The following is a 16,603-nucleotide window of genomic DNA, read 5'->3' on the forward strand; positions in this document are numbered from 1 at the left end:
AAGCGTAACACAGGGCTGGTGCTCAAGGATGATAGCTCTGATTCATGTGTCCTGAATGGAATTACCAAAAAATTAAAAAAAAAAAAATCAGTGGAGATGAAGAGATAGGGAGTACAGAGTTTTGGAAGCTAGTGAGGGAGCAGAGGAAGGAAAGAGATGACGAGGACAAAAGGGCAGACATGGGTGAGGTTGAGAGGAGTAAACCAGCTGAGGAAGTGACCGCTGCAGGCTTAGCTGTCAATCCTGGGGTTTGCTGCTCCCCGTGGTTGGAACTGGAGGACATAATGCTCTGTGAAATAAGCCAGGCACCGAAAACAAATACTGCAAGCTCTCATGCATGAGTGGAATCTAAAACAACAGACTCAGAGAAGCAGAGAGGAAGATGGTGGGTACAGAGGCTGGAAGGTGCAGGGAATGGGGAGATGGTCAAAGAGTGCAGTTAGGAGGAACATGCTTGGTTGGTTAAGTTGTATTGCACAGCTTGGTGAATGTAGTTAGTAATAGAATATGTATATTTCACAATTGCTAAGGATGAATTTCAAATGTTCTTATCCCCCAAAATGTTAAGTATTTGAGGTGATGGATATGTTAAGTACCTTGATTTAATTATTTCACTTCATATTCATAAATCATAACATCACTTTGTACCCCATGAATTTATACAATTATACATTGTCAATTTATGATTTCTAAAAAAGCATTAGTACCTGTGGTAAATCAGGCTCAGGGGAAAAGCCTCAGGGTTTGTCGTCTTACTGTTCACACATTGAAGGAAAAGAGGCTCCTCTTCCATCTTTCCCCATTCCTTGGCCAAGCCCTTGCACAGGCTGACTGTAAGTGAAATTAAAGAATATCAGTGTAGTAGTAAGTAATCACATTTGTTGATCTTTTGTTTTGTGCCTAGCACTCTGCTAAATGTATTTCATGGGTTATCTCCTGAGATTCTTACCATACCCTATAAAAGAGGTTCCACTGTTATTCTGTTCCTGGACCAAATAGGGTCGAGCTGCTTATTCTCACCACCCAATAAGAGATGCAGATGAACTGGGAAAGAAGAGAGGTGTTTTGTTTTGTTTTGTTTTGTTTTGTTTTGTTTTGTTTTGTTTTGTTTGAGATGGAGTTTCGCTCTTGTTGCCCAGGCTGGAGTACAATGGTGCGATCTCGGCTCACCGCAACCTCCGCTTCCCAGGTTCAAGTGATTCTCCTGCCTCAGCCTCCCAAGTAGCTGGGATTACAGGCATGCACCATCATGCCTGGCTAACTTTGTATTTTTAGTAGAGACAGGGTTTCTCCATGTTGGTCAGGCTGGTTTCAAACTCCCGACCTCAGGTGATCTGCCCGCCTTGGCCTCCCAAAGTGCTGGGATTACAGGCGTTGAGATTCTATTTCTGTAACTGGGTACAGGGAGAACACCTGGAAATTATCGCCAGATCAACTCAAACTTACAAAGTTTTCCAGAGCTTACATACCTTGTAAGCTATATGTCTATGAGTAAGTGTGCATTTATCTAAAGACATAAGTGACTCACTTCTTTTAATTTATAACTAAGATCTGAGTCCTGAAGACCTTCCTCTGGAGCCTCAGTAAATTTACTTAATCTAAATGGGTTCAGATGCTGGACTAATGACCCTTGTCTCCTGCTAAATCATGGAGGTTTGGGGAGTTCCTTCAGACCCCCATTAAACTTGTTTGTGGAGGCCTGGGGAGTTTCTTCAGACCCCCAATGAAACTTGTTTAATCCTAAACAGGTCCTGTTAAGAATTCCTTCATTATCTTGCCATGTTTCAAGGTCCAGAAAAGGCCTAGGCAAACTCTCGGTGGGCTTTTGTTACATCCTAACCTTTGTATAAGGGCACTGCTTCTTTCAGCTTTTAATATTTAACTTAACCATTCAGTCAGTGCTGAAACAGTTGTTATGGAGGCCTGCATTAGTAAGACCTGGTCTGCCACAATTCCACTGTACACATGAGGATTTAGGAAGGCCAAATGATCTGCCTCACGTTGCCCAGTAGGTGGAGATGGTAGAGCCAGAATGGGAACCTGGAGGTCGGCTTCCTCAGCCTGCACACGGAAACAGTGCAGGGAAGCTTCACCAGGTGACAGCCCAGAGCAGCCCAGGGACTCACTTCCTGTCATCACTCCCACCCCCCACCACCTCATCCTGGTAGTACCACCCGCGCCAATGCTTCTAGGGCTCTTGCTGGACCCACAGGTGGACTGTGACTTCAGTCTGTTACCTCCTTCTCTTCATTCTCCACGAAAGAACTTCAGCACATCACAAGTTCAGTTACTTCACTACTGGCAGTAAAGGAAAATCTGTAAGTCCAGGCTGTTGACAGGCAGGTGGGAAGCAAGCTGTGGAGCTCCAAGAGGCCCAGGAACCGGAGGCAGGCAAGGGCCGGGCTCAGAGCCGGAGGAATGGCGGAACGTCTATGTGAGGGTCAGTCACACCCCAGCTCCCCGCTATGACCCTGCCAGTGACTGTCCTACTCTACCCATGCAGGAAGTGGGGGTTCACACTCCAGACACCAGGCACCAAAAAATGGGGGTAAAGCTCCTTAATAAAAACAGAGGAAATTGACTTAATAAGGTTGACCCCTCTCCTTAGCCTTCTTCCTGTCAGCTTCCCAAGCACTGAGCAACAGACATATATTCCTCATGAGGAAAGTAGCGGATTCTTCTCTCAAGATATTGAACATTCAGTGACCAAAACAAGTCACAGATACTGACATTCGGAGTCCCTTCAATGGGACAGGGGACTCTCCATGTGATCATGAAGCCCAAACATCAAATCCACCACCATCCCAGACACACACACTCCAGATTGCAGTCAGCTGTCTAGTACTTGACTGTTCGGTATAAACAGACAGGTGAGAGTCACCAACTATGTAGGATAATGTCAGAGATGTCATAAAAGAAGGGACCCCCAAACTCACAATCCAGGGTAGGGGTGGGTGGCAGGAGGTCTGGGAAGAAACAGAGGCGACAGAGAAAGCAGAAGAAAACTTTTGATAATTAAATTAATATTCTCAGAGAGACAAGAGAAGATATTGAGATATTGCCTCCAAAAAAATTAGAATGGGGTGCTATGAAAAAGGGGACTATCAGAGAACGAGAAATAATACTTGGAAATTTAAAATATGATAGCTGAAATTAAAACACAATGACAGTATTGAAAATAAAGCTGAGGAAATTTCCAAAGAAGTAGAACACAAAGGAAAAAGATCAAAATGTGGAACAAAATTAGAAAAAAAAAAATCTAAAATAAATAGGTGTTTGAGAAAAGGGATCAGAGAAATTATTAAAGTCTCAGACCTCATATGGGAGAAAAATCTATATCAAGGCAATCATGAAGTTCCAATTAAAAGAGTTAAAGAAAAGATCCTGAAAGTTTCCAGAAAGGAAAAAAATGTAGGTTGCATATAAGGCTTCGTAAACAGAAAGCAGTTGCTTTCCCGGTAGCAGCCCTGACAGCCTGACAATTTTCTTTCTGGAGTTTCTCAATTAAGTGCGAAAGTAGAATAATGACTCATCAGAGGAACATGGGTTTAGAAAGTTAACCTCGAGTATCTCTTTTCTCAAGGAGCTACCTGAGAATGTGTTTCAGGAAAATGAGAGTGTAGACCTAGGAAGTGGATGTCATGAGATCCTGAAACTTGGGGATGTAATACCAAAGTGTGGCAAAAGGAAGTCCCTGCACTAATGGCAGAGGGAGGTCCCAGGACAAGGGCTGTGCAGGAACCCTGAGAAGACCCCGTCCAGGTGGGAACAGAGGAAAGAGAGCCATAGAAGATGCCTCCAGGGGACAAAAACGTGACTGCAGATGGCCTGATGTGTGCAATGTTGGAAAATGTTTGAGAAGAGTTTTACTGCTGTGTTAGAGAATCTGGAGAGAATTCGTGGCAGATACATAGAAAAATAAGCAAATGAAAAAAATAATTATGGATTTTAAAGAAACTAAATACAAGAAAATACAATTGCAACAAACAAAAATATAAGAAAATACAATTACATACAACAAAATGCAAGAAAATACAATTTAAAGAAAATACAAGTAGATTTTATTGGTTGGCTTTTAAATAATATTACATAGTCCTAAAATATGAATACTGTGCTAAATTTTAGTATTATTATTATTATTATTATTATTATTATAGTGTCTTACTGTTGCCCAGGTTGAAATGCAGTGACATGATCACAATTCACTGCAACCTCGAACTCCTGAGCACAAGGGATCCTCCTGCTTCAGCCACCCAAGTAGCTAGAACTACACAGCTATTTTTTTTCAGAGACAGGATCTCACTGTGTTGCCCAGGCTGGTCTTGAACTCCTGGCCTCAAGCAATCCTCCCACTTCAGCCTCCCCAGTCACTGCAATTACAGGTGTGAGGCACCATGCCAAGCTTGAATTTCAATATAACCAAAAATCTGTGATTTAGCTATTTGGGGAGAATATAGAGAAAGGGGCTGGGGAAGCAGGCTTATAAAAGTGCTAAATTCTCATCTTATATTCAGGAAAATCAGTAGAGAATATCTAAAAGGTATAAATCAATAAGTAGCTCCAGAGGTTTTTTTTTTTAAAAAAAAATACAGCTGTTTAATTGAAAGAGTTAAAAGTGTGAGAAGGTGTCTCTAAGGAATTGGGAAGGGGCGGGAAGCAGGGAACTGCTTTTTGCTTTAGTCCTAGCACCACTAGACTTTTATAACTATGTACATGTAATACTTTGTTAGAAACAAAAATTAGGTTGAAAATGAAATGCTGTCCATCAGAAAATGTGCTCAGAAAGCTTGAAGTTGGAATCCTATACTATCTTAGTCTGTTCTTGCACTGCTGTAAAAAAATACCTGAGACTGGGTAATTTATAAAGAAAAGAGGTTTAATTGGTTCACAGTTCCCGCAGGCTGTACAGGAAGCATGATGCTGGCATCTGCTCCGCTTCTTGGGAGGCCTCAGGAAACTTACAATCATGGCAGAAGGCAAAGGGGATGTACACATACCCCGTGGATGGAGCAGGAGCAAGAGAGAGAAGGGAAGGTGCTGCACACTTTAAACAACCACATCTCATAAGCACTCAATCACTATCACAAAGACAGCACCAAGGGCAATGGTGCTAAACTATTCATGAGAAACCGCCCCCAGGATCCAATCACCTCCCACCAGGCCCCACAACATTGGGGGTTACAATTAGACATGAGATTTGGGTGGGAACACAGATTTAAACCATATCCAATACCAAATAATCACTGGTCGGATTCAAGTAAGTGGCTGCTATGAAATTTGTGTGAAGATATGATAGTGCATTTTCTATTGATGCTTAATTGGGGTTTAAAATGATGTGATGATGGAGACCAGCAAGCCTGCTTTGCAGGCTCAGCCCCGCTCTCCTGCACTAGCTAGAGGTGCCTCCCTGGTTCCTCTTGCCACACGTGATGAGCCCTGGCCTTGCCTAACATGCAGTCACAAAGCTTCTCATGTGATTGACTCACTTCCAAGCTGCAGAGCCTTCAGTGTCATCTCGATCATTCTGTAAAGCTTTTGACTCCAGCCCCGGGCTGGGTCTCCAGTCCCTCTCTACCTGCCTCATTATTCTGTTACTGTTGACTGACCCTTCCAGTCTCAGACACTAATTTCTGTTCTGTCTCACATCTTTCATATCTTCCCTCTCAGTTTCCAGCCTTGCCTCCTCCACTTATCCGTGCTGGCCTGGTCCCTGCCACCTCCTTTGGCACTCTCTTTGCCATATAGTGAATCTCTTATTCCCAGCTTGGCATTCTCACCCATTGTCACTTTACCTCCATAGCACTGACCTTGGTAGCAAGTACAAATTGCAGTGATTTCAATAACCTTAAGGTTATGATACCATCAGTCTTGCAAATGCATGGTATTGTTCAATGAAGTCTATAGGGAGTTATAGAAATAAAGCCATGGATAAGGAGAATTATGGTGTGCTAGTGGAAGCAGTATCCAGTTATCAGTAGGTGCTAAAGCAGCATTAGTTTTTATTTATATTTATTTAGCATCTTTAACACCCAGGTTACCAAAAAGAACATTCTGTCTCATGAGGACTTTGTAAAAGGAGTGAAAATGGATATAAATGAGAGGGGCAATGAGTTACTTATGTATTGATTGAATAATTATTTATGAATGGTGACTATATTCTGAGGCTGAAGATTACTGAGAGGAAATGTTTTCATGCCGGCTTTCATGGAGTCTATGATCAGTTGGGAGCAGTATCAACAAACAATAATAACTCTTTGCATCCAGAAGCGCTATCAGCACTGGAAAAGGCACGCATATAATCTTGTTATAATAAAAAAATCCCAGAGATTGGGCAACAGATTCCTCAGAACAGGACTCAGAGATGGTGACCATGGGCTGGAGCAGAAGCATCCATGATTTATTATTTGTACCACACTCACTGAAAGCCTGTAAGTCCACATCCCATTAAGCATGTTTACTTACAAATCCCATCCATGTGCCACTGCATTTATATAGTGTACATTATAAAGTATAACTAAAATCGATATTAAAGGATAACATTTTTAAAATAAGTAAAAGCAGAAGTTCTAACATCATCTGCCTGAGCCCCAGTGATCACCCTTGGCACCTCCTGAGCCGCACTCCTACTTTGATACCATCAGTCTAATCCAGAGTGGAGTCCTCCCTGTTGCTTCTGAAGAATCTGGATTTAATAAGCTCATCCAGAGATTTGAGATAACTCACAATTGACAACTCCAAGGGCATCATGTGATAATCCAGATGTTTCCAGGATAGTGGGAAAAACCATTTGTACAAGGCATGACTTCCCCGTGAATGAGTCTATTCAAGAGATCAAATTAGATTGAAGTTGCTTAGTGAGCATAGAATTAGAATAAATGGAATTGTGGTCTATAGAGATATTTCATCACACTTGAATAACTGATGGAACTACTTTTCTCCTCTCTGCGGATATTTCTGTCTGAATAACCAGTGCTGGGCCTCAAATAAATACTGACATGTTTTACTTTTAGCTTTCCTTTTTCTAGAATCATTTTAGACAACTGCCCTTCTGTTAATACATCACCACCTCAGAAAATAAGAAGGTACTTGATTGGATTGAAATTTTAAAATGTTAATTGCATTCGTATCCTGGGGATACAGCCTAAAGAGACAGAATTGCTTTGCTTAAGGCTGAAGTCTGGCTGGGGACTTTGATCTCTGCAGGCTCTCGGGTCCTTAAAGGGCTCTCACCCAATTAGGATGAGCTGAATCCTTCTGGCCCTGGGCCTCATCTTTATTCCCTCCCAGCTTCAGGACTCTCTGATGAGCGAGAGCGTAGATTTAGGTTTTCTCACAGAGGTGCACCTGAACGCCTCTTGCTGTGTAGTAAGGCAGATGTTGAGGGGGGAGGAAGGCTTACCCTTGATAACTAGCAACTTGAGCTTTGCAAAGCGCCTTTCTGTTCCTGTTACCAGTAGCCTACACTACATCATACAATATTCTCCTCCCCAAGAAGAAAGCAACCTATTTGCCTATTTTCTCCTACTGAAATCTATGATTTTATACTTTGTTTAAAAAAAAAATAGCAGCCGAGCATGGTGGCTCATGCCTGTAATCGCAGCACTTTGGGAGGCTGAGGCAGGTGGATCACTTGAGGTCAGGAGTTCGAGACCAGCCTGACCAATATGGTGAAACCCCGTCTCTACTAAAAATACAAAAATTAGCCTGGCATGGTGGTGTGTGCCTGTAATCCCAGCTACTCAGGAGGCTGAGACAGGAGAATCGCTTGCACCTGGGAGGGGGAGGTTGCAGTGAGCCTAGATCGTGCCACTGCACTCCATCCTGGGCCACAGAGCGAGACTCTGTCTAAAAAAAAAAAAAAAGAAGAAGCTTAAGACTGCACTAAGATTAGGAACACATTAAGAACAGTTTTTACCCTAATGAAGATATTTACAAACATATTTTGCACTAGTTCCCTGTTTATGTATTACCTGCGACAGTAATTAATAGGAATGCCATTGGCTGAGACAGCTTCAGAGCCCTAGATACCTAGGGAAGCAAGCCAAATCCTCTTCAATGTAAATACTGAAACGAAACTAAGCTTATCAGCAATCAGAAACCACCACCTAACCTCTAACTAAAGACTTTCCACATTAACCAATCAAACGGTTTCTTTGTCTTGCATCCACAAACACATTTCTCTCTCTCCAACCCCGCACCCCAGTAGACAACTTGAATTCTGGTGCTGCCCAATTCACGAATCACTGAATGTCCAAATAAACATGTTAAGATTTTAATATGCCTAAGTTTATCTTTTAACATGCCTGGGGACTTATCTAGATGTTGCTATATTCTAGACATTTCTAAAAACAAAAACAAACAGCATTAATTAAATAAGACCATATTTTAATATTTCATAATTTAAAATTATGACTTAAGCATGGCAGAACCAACACAAAGTAACTTTTATTTGAAAATAGTAGCTCAATTTAATATTGCATATGTGTATAATTTGCATAAAAGGAAGGAAAAATATCATTTGTGTATGAATAGAAACTAATGGAGTGCACTTAGTTGATTCATTGTGCCTTTTGGAGAAAAGATATAGCAAATACCGTGTTTTTTAAAAAGCATACATTTGGAGTTTAGTATCAGAGCTCAAGGCTTTAGTAACTGCTTTAAATCACACCCATATATTTTAGTCTTTAGCTGTGACAGTAAGTGTACTCAGAAATGTGCACATTAAAAAGGAATTTCTCCCCTGAAGATGAAGTTGAGAGCCAACTCTTGATCCCATATTAAATTCTTAGTCCATCTGTCCTAATGGAGTCTGAGTAACGCAGTTTGGTGTTTTTATTGCATCCTGCGAGCTGCTTTTCTCCTGGAAACACTGGCTGCTCTGTCAGGCAATGAGTGGGGAGAGGCAGCTGGTACAATCACATCTTCTCCAAGAGCTCAAGGACAGAGGCTGGCTGAGAGCCATTTGGTGGGCTCACTGCCTCATCCCCATACTATACAACAATCCCACAGGCCAGAGCCTCACCTGCAGTCCCCAGGAGGAAGTAGGAAGGGAAGAGAAGGCAACTCACCTCTGAGAGTTTGGCGCAGGAGAGGTGAGGAAACTGCCCTAGCCTAGTCTGGTCACTTCTGCCTCGTTCCCGGCTCCTCACCTCCTCCAGGCTCCGTCAGTTGTATTCCTGAAGCACCTGCACCAGGTGTCTGGGTGGCCGTTGACACAGGAGTGAGCACTGGCTCTTCCAAGGCAGAGGTGGATGAAAAGCAAGAGCAAACTACCAAAAACTTTGTTCTTACTTTGTCATCCTGAGGTTTATCTCAGATGCTGCTTGCACCAGACCAAAGCTACCAGTACATATGCAGGAGTTCAAAACAGCCCCCACCCACCCACAGAGTAACCCCAGGGGCTTCTCCCAATTGTTGTGTCTATTGGCATTTACTTCTTAGAGTCCCATAGGACTCCTTGGTAGGAACCCCAACTATATCAATCTTTATTGTTATATAATTATAAAATATTGTTTATCATAAATATTATAAAATATTTTATTGTACAATTTATAGAAATTCTATATTAATATTTAATTTTATATAGATTGTATATATTAATACTTTAAATATCTTTATATGTAAATGAATATTATATAGACACACATATAACTTTTGGAAAGTCAAAAATATATTTGTGAGGATTTGGTCCAATGTTGTTCAACAGAATGAGAGAAAATAATGACTATTGCTAATGGTACTTATTAAACTCAAGCAATGGGTATCTGTTACATGACTAGGCTGATCAGGGTGTGAGTTAACCTGATTTTTTTGTTTTCTTCCCACAGGGAATTATTGGAATGCCGCCTCTTTCCCAAACCCATCCTCCTACCTGCACTTCTCTACTTTCCAAGGGGAAACTAGCGCTGACATTTCTTTCTACTTCAAAACATTAACCCCCTGGGGAGTGTTTCTTGAAAATATGGGAAAGGAAGATTTCATCAAGCTGGAGCTGAAGTGTGAGTATAAGTTGCTTGTCAACTCATGGGGAGCCACTTTCGTCACCTCAGGGTGGTCCGGGTCCTGATTGTGGAAGGCCTTTTGATTCAAACGTGGAAGGTTTCCTTTGTTCCAGGAGCAGGACTAGAGGTGGACACACAAGCCTGAGTTTGGGCTCCAACCTCAGTCCCTGTCCTTGGGATGCTCTCAGGGAAGCAGGCACATCCAGATTCTCAAGCAATTAGTCAAGAAGATGAGAGAGAACACACCGCCCTGAGAATGTGGGAGAGGAATGTTTATCTTCAGCTTCATGTCTTGTGTGGCTGTTTTCCAAAGAGACAGGGTCAAAAATAGGTGAGGGGTGTGTGCATTGACCCGAGGAGCAGGGAGTGAGGAAAATCATGTCAAGGTCAAGGAAGACAGGAATGATAACTAGTGACATCCGTGTGAGTTCAGGAGGCCACGGAGACCACAGGACTGGGCAATTCCATGACACAGAGTCTGCAGGATTCCTACAGAGGACCCACACCTGCCCACCCTCTGCAAGTGAGTTCTGGATGTCATGTACTTAGCCAAAGATACAGAGACAATAAGAGGCAGAGCAAGAGAGGATGCTGCTTAGCTCAGCTCAGCTGGCCTTGGAGCAAACATCCTAAGGGGGCGTTCAGGCTTGGGGAGCTCCGTCAGTGGAAGGTGGGGGTTAGCTGCACAAGACTTGAGAAGCGCAATGCTTGCCCTACCTGGACCCTTTAAACATCAGGGCCCCAATTCAGCTTTAGGAAGTTACAATCCCCTGACTTCCAGGCCAGTTGATTATTTGCAAATGTTGAACTCCGTTGGCTGTGAGAGTCAGGGAGACTCCACTGGCTGTGAGAGTCGGGGAGATCAACCACAAGGACGAGGCCAGGCTATGTCCCCTGTCCCTTTACAAAACCTCAGCCTTACACTCAGCATATCAAAAAGTCTCCCTTCCGGCCAGGCACGGTGGCTCACGCCTGTAATCCCACCACTTTGGGAGGCTGATTTGGGTGGATCACGAGGTCAGGAGTTCGAGACCATCCTGGCTAACACAGTGAAACCCCATCTCTACTAAAAATACAAAAAAAAAAAAATTAGCCAGGTGTGGTGGCGGGGGCGCCTGTAGTCCCAGCTACTTGGGAGGCTGAGGCAGGAGAATGGCGTAAGTAAACCCGGGAGGCGGAGCTTGCAGTGAGCCTAGATTGCGCCACTGCACTCAAGCCTGGGTGACAGAGCGAGACTCCGTCTCAGAAAAAAAAGTCTCCCTTTGCCAAGTCTGTCCCCTTTAAATGAGTGCTTATGTTCCTGGGTCTGGTCTGAGAATGATCCCAAATCCATTTCCCATTTCTGCTGAAATGCTATTGGATTCACAGTAGCATTCTTAGGTTCAATTCCACACCGTCAGGTAAATTGCTCAATCTCTTTGAATCCTAATTTTCTGATTTATAAAAAGGAAATGTTAATTTGTGGGATTGTGATGAGAATAGAATTTAAATACTCATAAGGCATTTATTTTGGTATCTAGTAGTTATTGTAATTATCATCTTCTGAGGATGCCCATGGCAGATCTGATCTGAGCCAGGTCTGATTGAAAGGGAGGCTAAGGCTATCCTGGTCCTAGAATTAAAATTAACTAATTAATTAAAATCCCCCCTTTACTGAATTCTGGATAAGAATAATTGAAAGGGGATTCTTGCTTCCCTCAGTTAAAATTAACTAACTGAATCAAACTATTTTCTGACTTCTACATAAGTTGGATCAAATTTTAGAAAGATTTTATGGCCACAAAAGAAAATTGCCAGTTCTATATTTGAGTGGTTCTGTAAGTTTCTATAAAAGTGCTTGGATTCCCCCATCTTTATTTTATGTCCTCAAGTTTTGTAAAGCCACGCCTGGGTAAGAAGGAACACATACTAGATAGAGGGAGAGCAGGTGTTTCTACTCAGCCCTCGGGGTCAAAGAATTTCTCTACTTTCTTCTACTTTTTTCTTTTTTTTTGAGACAGGGTGTCACTCTGTCACCCAGGCTGGAGTGCAATGGTGCAATCATGGTTCACTGCAGCCTCGAATTCCCAGGCTCAGGTGATCCTCCCACCTCAGCCTCCCAAGTAGCTGGGACTACAGGTGCGTGGCACTGCACCTGGCTAATTGTTGTGGTTTTTGTCACTGCGGGATCTCGCCATGTCGGCCAGGCTGGTCTCAAACCCCTGGGCTCAGGCAGTGTGCCTGCCTTGACCTCCCAAAGTGCTGGGATTACAGGCATGAGCCACTGCACCCAGCCACTAATTTCTAATTATGAAAAATCTTTAGAGCTGTCTTCAGAGTTTTCCAGGTCTTTCCACAGTATGAAAACCATGTGGCCCATGGTTCACAGTATGAATTACAGCCTCCTTTTGTCAAATACCTTTACTTTCACTGTATCCTTTACTCTGGGCAAAAACATGTGAAACGTTCAAGACCCAGATTCGAGCCTCTAATCTTCCCTCAGAGCCCCCTGTATCTACTAATAACCAGAGAGGGTGGAAAGACATTTTCACGATCCCCAAAATGTCACATATTAGATGCCCATCATTATATGTCATCTCCATCAGGGTTCAAAGGAGCCTCATGGAGAGGGAGGCAGACTTCTGTATTTAAGAAAAACTACAAAGCAAACCAAAAGTGGTGCTTTCATGAAGAACATGGAGAAAAAAATGGCCATGATGGAGGCTTGTTGCTGTCGCTGTCTCATCAATCACACTTTTTCTTTAATTTTTTTTTATTTTTTTTTATGGTGTCTCGCTCTGTCGCCCAGGCTGGAGTGCAGTGGTGCAATCTCAGCTCACTGCAACCTCTGCCTCCCAGGTTCAAGTGATTCTCCTGCCTCAGCCTCCCGAGTAGCTGGGATTACAGGGGCCCGCCACCGCGCCTGGCTAATTTTTGTATTTTTAGTAGAGACGGGCTTTCACCATCTTGGCCAGGCTGGTCTCGAACTCCTGACCTCGTGATCCACCCGCGTCGGCCTCCCAAAGCCCTAGGATTACAGGCGTGAGCCACCACGCCTGGCCGCTGATCATACTTTTTCAGTCAGACACTTCGCCATCAGGATTCCTGAGACATTGGGTAGAGAATTCTCTCAGGCCCACTTCCTTGTGTGAGGAATCACTCTGCAAACCTAATTGTTTTCACAACAGTGGCGGGCTACCAGAGGGGCCTCAGGAAACGTTGATTCTGAAGTTAAACTCTTTAGAACTGTCTCTATGTTTTTCCCATTTAGCTTGTTAGGCCTTCTGATCTCTTTCTGATAGGAATTCACATTTTTTTTCTCTAAGCGTGTCTCAGAGGAATTTGGTCACAGTTCATGACTACATATTGCTTTCCAGAATGACAGTTCTGTTAATTAATTACATTGTGCCCTTCTGTCAAGAGTGGAAGATTCTCGACTCAGAAAACAATGAGTCAGTGTACACTAAGTTAATGAGATACCATCAGCATCTTATGCACAAGTAGAAAAACACAGAGATAAAATTAGGGCAATCTCACTCATTAGCATGCTTTAATGGTAACATTTTAACCCTATACTTCATGTATTTACTATTCATATTTATTCATTCATTTAATGAGTATTTACTGAGTATCTACTATGTCCCAGGTACAGTGCTAGTGCTGAGGTAATTTAGTCAAATCAAGTGTGATTTCTTTCCCTCAAAGATCTTTCTGTTTGTTTTAGAAAGCAGGCAAGTAACTCAGGAGTTATGATAATAACAAAAATAGCTCAGCTTCATTCAGACTTTCAGGCCTCGTTCCAGGCGTTTTACGTGAATCATCTCACACTCCTAACCACCCTGTGAAGTGCATACTAGCATTCACATCTCCATTTTACAAACGAGGAAACTGAGGCACAGGGTGAGCAAGTTGCCTGGCCAAGGTCATACAGCCAGGAAGTGGCAGAGCTGGTGTTTGACCCCAAACATTATGTGTCTGTCCCAAAGTCATTGCTGCTAACCTTAAAGCACACTGCCTCACAGAACAGATAGCAAGAAAGAGGCCGGGAGCACTGAGGGGAATTTTTAAACCTGACTGGCTTGACAAGGAGCGCCTCCCAGGGATGGAATGCTTTAATTAAATTTTGATGGATAAGTAGAAGCCAGTAAGGTGAAGAAGTGGGGGAAGAACAGGAGCCAGGGAAAAAAGGAAGTTTCAGGATAACACCAAATGAACGAAGGTGTCGGAGACTGAACCGAAGGACCCAGGAGGGGACAGGTGCAGTGGGGAGGGGCAGGGGCCAGCAATAGCAAGGTGGGCACAGATGAGCACCCAATGCACTCTGCCAGGGGGAGCATCTGACTCAACATGACCCTGAAGGCTATGGAGAGCCAGGGCGTAACTTGATCAGGTTTGCATTCACCAGAGAAAAGACTGGAAGCCAGACAACCAGCCATGGGAGCCTCTGTTAAGACAGAGGCAGAATGCATAGAAAGAGAGGAAGACAGTGATGAAGCATTGTAGATATGAAAGATCCTTCAATGAGCCGAGATCACACCACTGCACTCCAGCCTGGGTGACAGAGCACAGAGCAAGAATACATCTCAAAAAAAAAAGAAAAAAAAAGAAAGATCCTTAACAGATAGATTCCACAGACATTCAACAAATACTCGTGAGGGTTAAGTGGACGGGAAGATCCTAGAATGAAACCAGTGTTTCTAGTTTTGATGTTGTGTGAGTGGGGCACCTTTCATGAAGGAGTCTGACATTCAAGAGCAAAATACAAACTGCATTCTGGATATTTTGAGACTGAGTCTCTGTGGGCTATAGGAGGATCTAATCAAGTGGACACATCTAGAGGATGCTGAATGGACAAGTCCAGAACCCAACAGAGAGGTCTCAGAAACTCAGTTTGGGAGTCATCATCACTTAGAGGATCAGGAAATAAGCATTCAGTACCCTCAGCATGGATGAGATTGCCCAAAACAAATGTGTAGAGAGAGGAAGCAAGATGTACAAGAAAGACAACCAGCTCACACCTGTCATCCCAGTACTTTGGGAGTAGCAGTAGGTCACACCTGTCATCCCAGCACTTTAGGAGGCTGAAGGGGGAGTATCACTTGAGCCCAAAAGTTTAAGACCAGCCTGGGCAACATGGTGAAACCCTATCTCTACAAAACTAAAAATAAAACATTAGCCAGGCATGGTTGGCTGCACCTGTAGTCCCTTAGCCTCCTGCCCAGAGGCTGAGGCAGGAGAATCCCTCGAGCCCAAGAATTTGAGGCAGCAGTGAGCTATGATCACACAGCTGTACCCCCTAGCCTGAGTGACAGAGCGAGACCTCGAGGAAGGGAGAGAAGGAAGGGAGACAAGGAAGGGAGAGCAGGAAGGAAGGAAGGAAGGAAGGAAGGAAGGAAGGAAGGAAGGAAGGAAGGAAAAAGAAAGAGAAAGAGAGAAACAGAGAAAGAAAGAAAAGAAAAAGGAAGAAAGAAAGAAAAGAAAACCACATTCAAGGAATAGAAGGAAGAAAACTAGTTTGCAGAAAACTAACAGAGAAGTAGGAAGACAGTGGTACCCAGAAACCAAATGAAAAAGACATTTCAAAAAGGAAAAAAAGAGGGTTAGATATTGCTGAGAGGTCCCTAAAACAAGGACATAAAGTGACCATCAGATTTAACATGTAGAGGTCACGGTCAAAAAGTCAGGTATCACTAGGGTGAGTGGAAGTGGATTTGGAGATCAAGAGAGGGTGGTTTTGTTCATTCTAGTTTGAGGATGGTAGAGACTTTAGCATTCATATAGTTGAAGGAGAAAACTATGGTAGAGAAGGGGGATTGGTAATACAGGAGATAAAGGGACTGGCTGAAGGAGCAAGGTCCCCATGGCTGTGGGCATGAGGTAGACCCAGCATCGCAGCACCTCACAGGGGTGAGAGGAAGAGGCGGAAGTAAAGAGAACAGCGTAAACCGCCCACTAGGAAGTGCCTTTCCAAATCAGAATTTGTTGTTGTTGTTGTGTGTGGACGTTTGTTTGTTAGTATTTTTGAGATGGCAAAGAAATATTGTTCAAAAAAAATTTATGGAGCAGATATCAGAAAACCCAGACTCTAAACTTTTCTTCATCACTAACAACCATGGATCTGTCCATGTATTTTTTCAGTTACCCCTAAGGGATTAGCTTGACTGCTCTAGATCCTTTTTCTGACTGAGAGGGCCATCATAACCAGGGTCCCAACCTCGGGCCACCACCTCCTGAGCACCTGCCCTACTGCTGGTGCTGGGAGGCGCTGGGGAAGCTGAGGTGGAAACAGGAGAACCCAGCATCCACCTCCTAGTGAAGGAGACAAACACATTAGTGACAGTGTGGATACATAATTTCATTGAGAGCTTTGCAAGTGCCAGGCCCTGTTCTAAAGCTTTTGTAGGTTATTAACTTTTGTAGTTTACACAGCAAGTTTTATACACATTTTACAGCTAAGGAAATGAGAGCATAGAGTTGACACTGCCGAATCCAGATATGGTGCATTTAATCGTTAAAATAAGTAAATTACAATGATAGGCACAAAGTATTATGAACAATCGGTGGAGAGGTATGTGACCTATCCTGGGAATGAAGGGGAAGATGAGGGAATGCTTCAGTTGGGT

The 16,603-nt window shown here is 43.2% G+C and overlaps 1 protein-coding gene across 1 annotated transcript in view; it reads left to right on the plus strand.

Moving 5' to 3' along the window:
• CNTNAP2 (contactin associated protein 2) overlaps nt 1–16,603 on the plus strand; it is a 2,304,198-nt gene that overhangs the window by 1,991,490 nt on the left and 296,105 nt on the right. The window contains exon 16 of the mRNA NM_014141.6: nt 9,828–9,998. Coding sequence (NP_054860.1) covers nt 9,828–9,998 — 171 coding nt within the window. The remainder of the gene's footprint in view (nt 1–9,827; nt 9,999–16,603) is intronic.

The sequence above is a fragment of the Homo sapiens genome, chromosome 7 (genome assembly GCF_000001405.40).
Source record: "Homo sapiens chromosome 7, GRCh38.p14 Primary Assembly".
Taxonomy (NCBI): domain Eukaryota; kingdom Metazoa; phylum Chordata; class Mammalia; order Primates; family Hominidae; genus Homo; species Homo sapiens.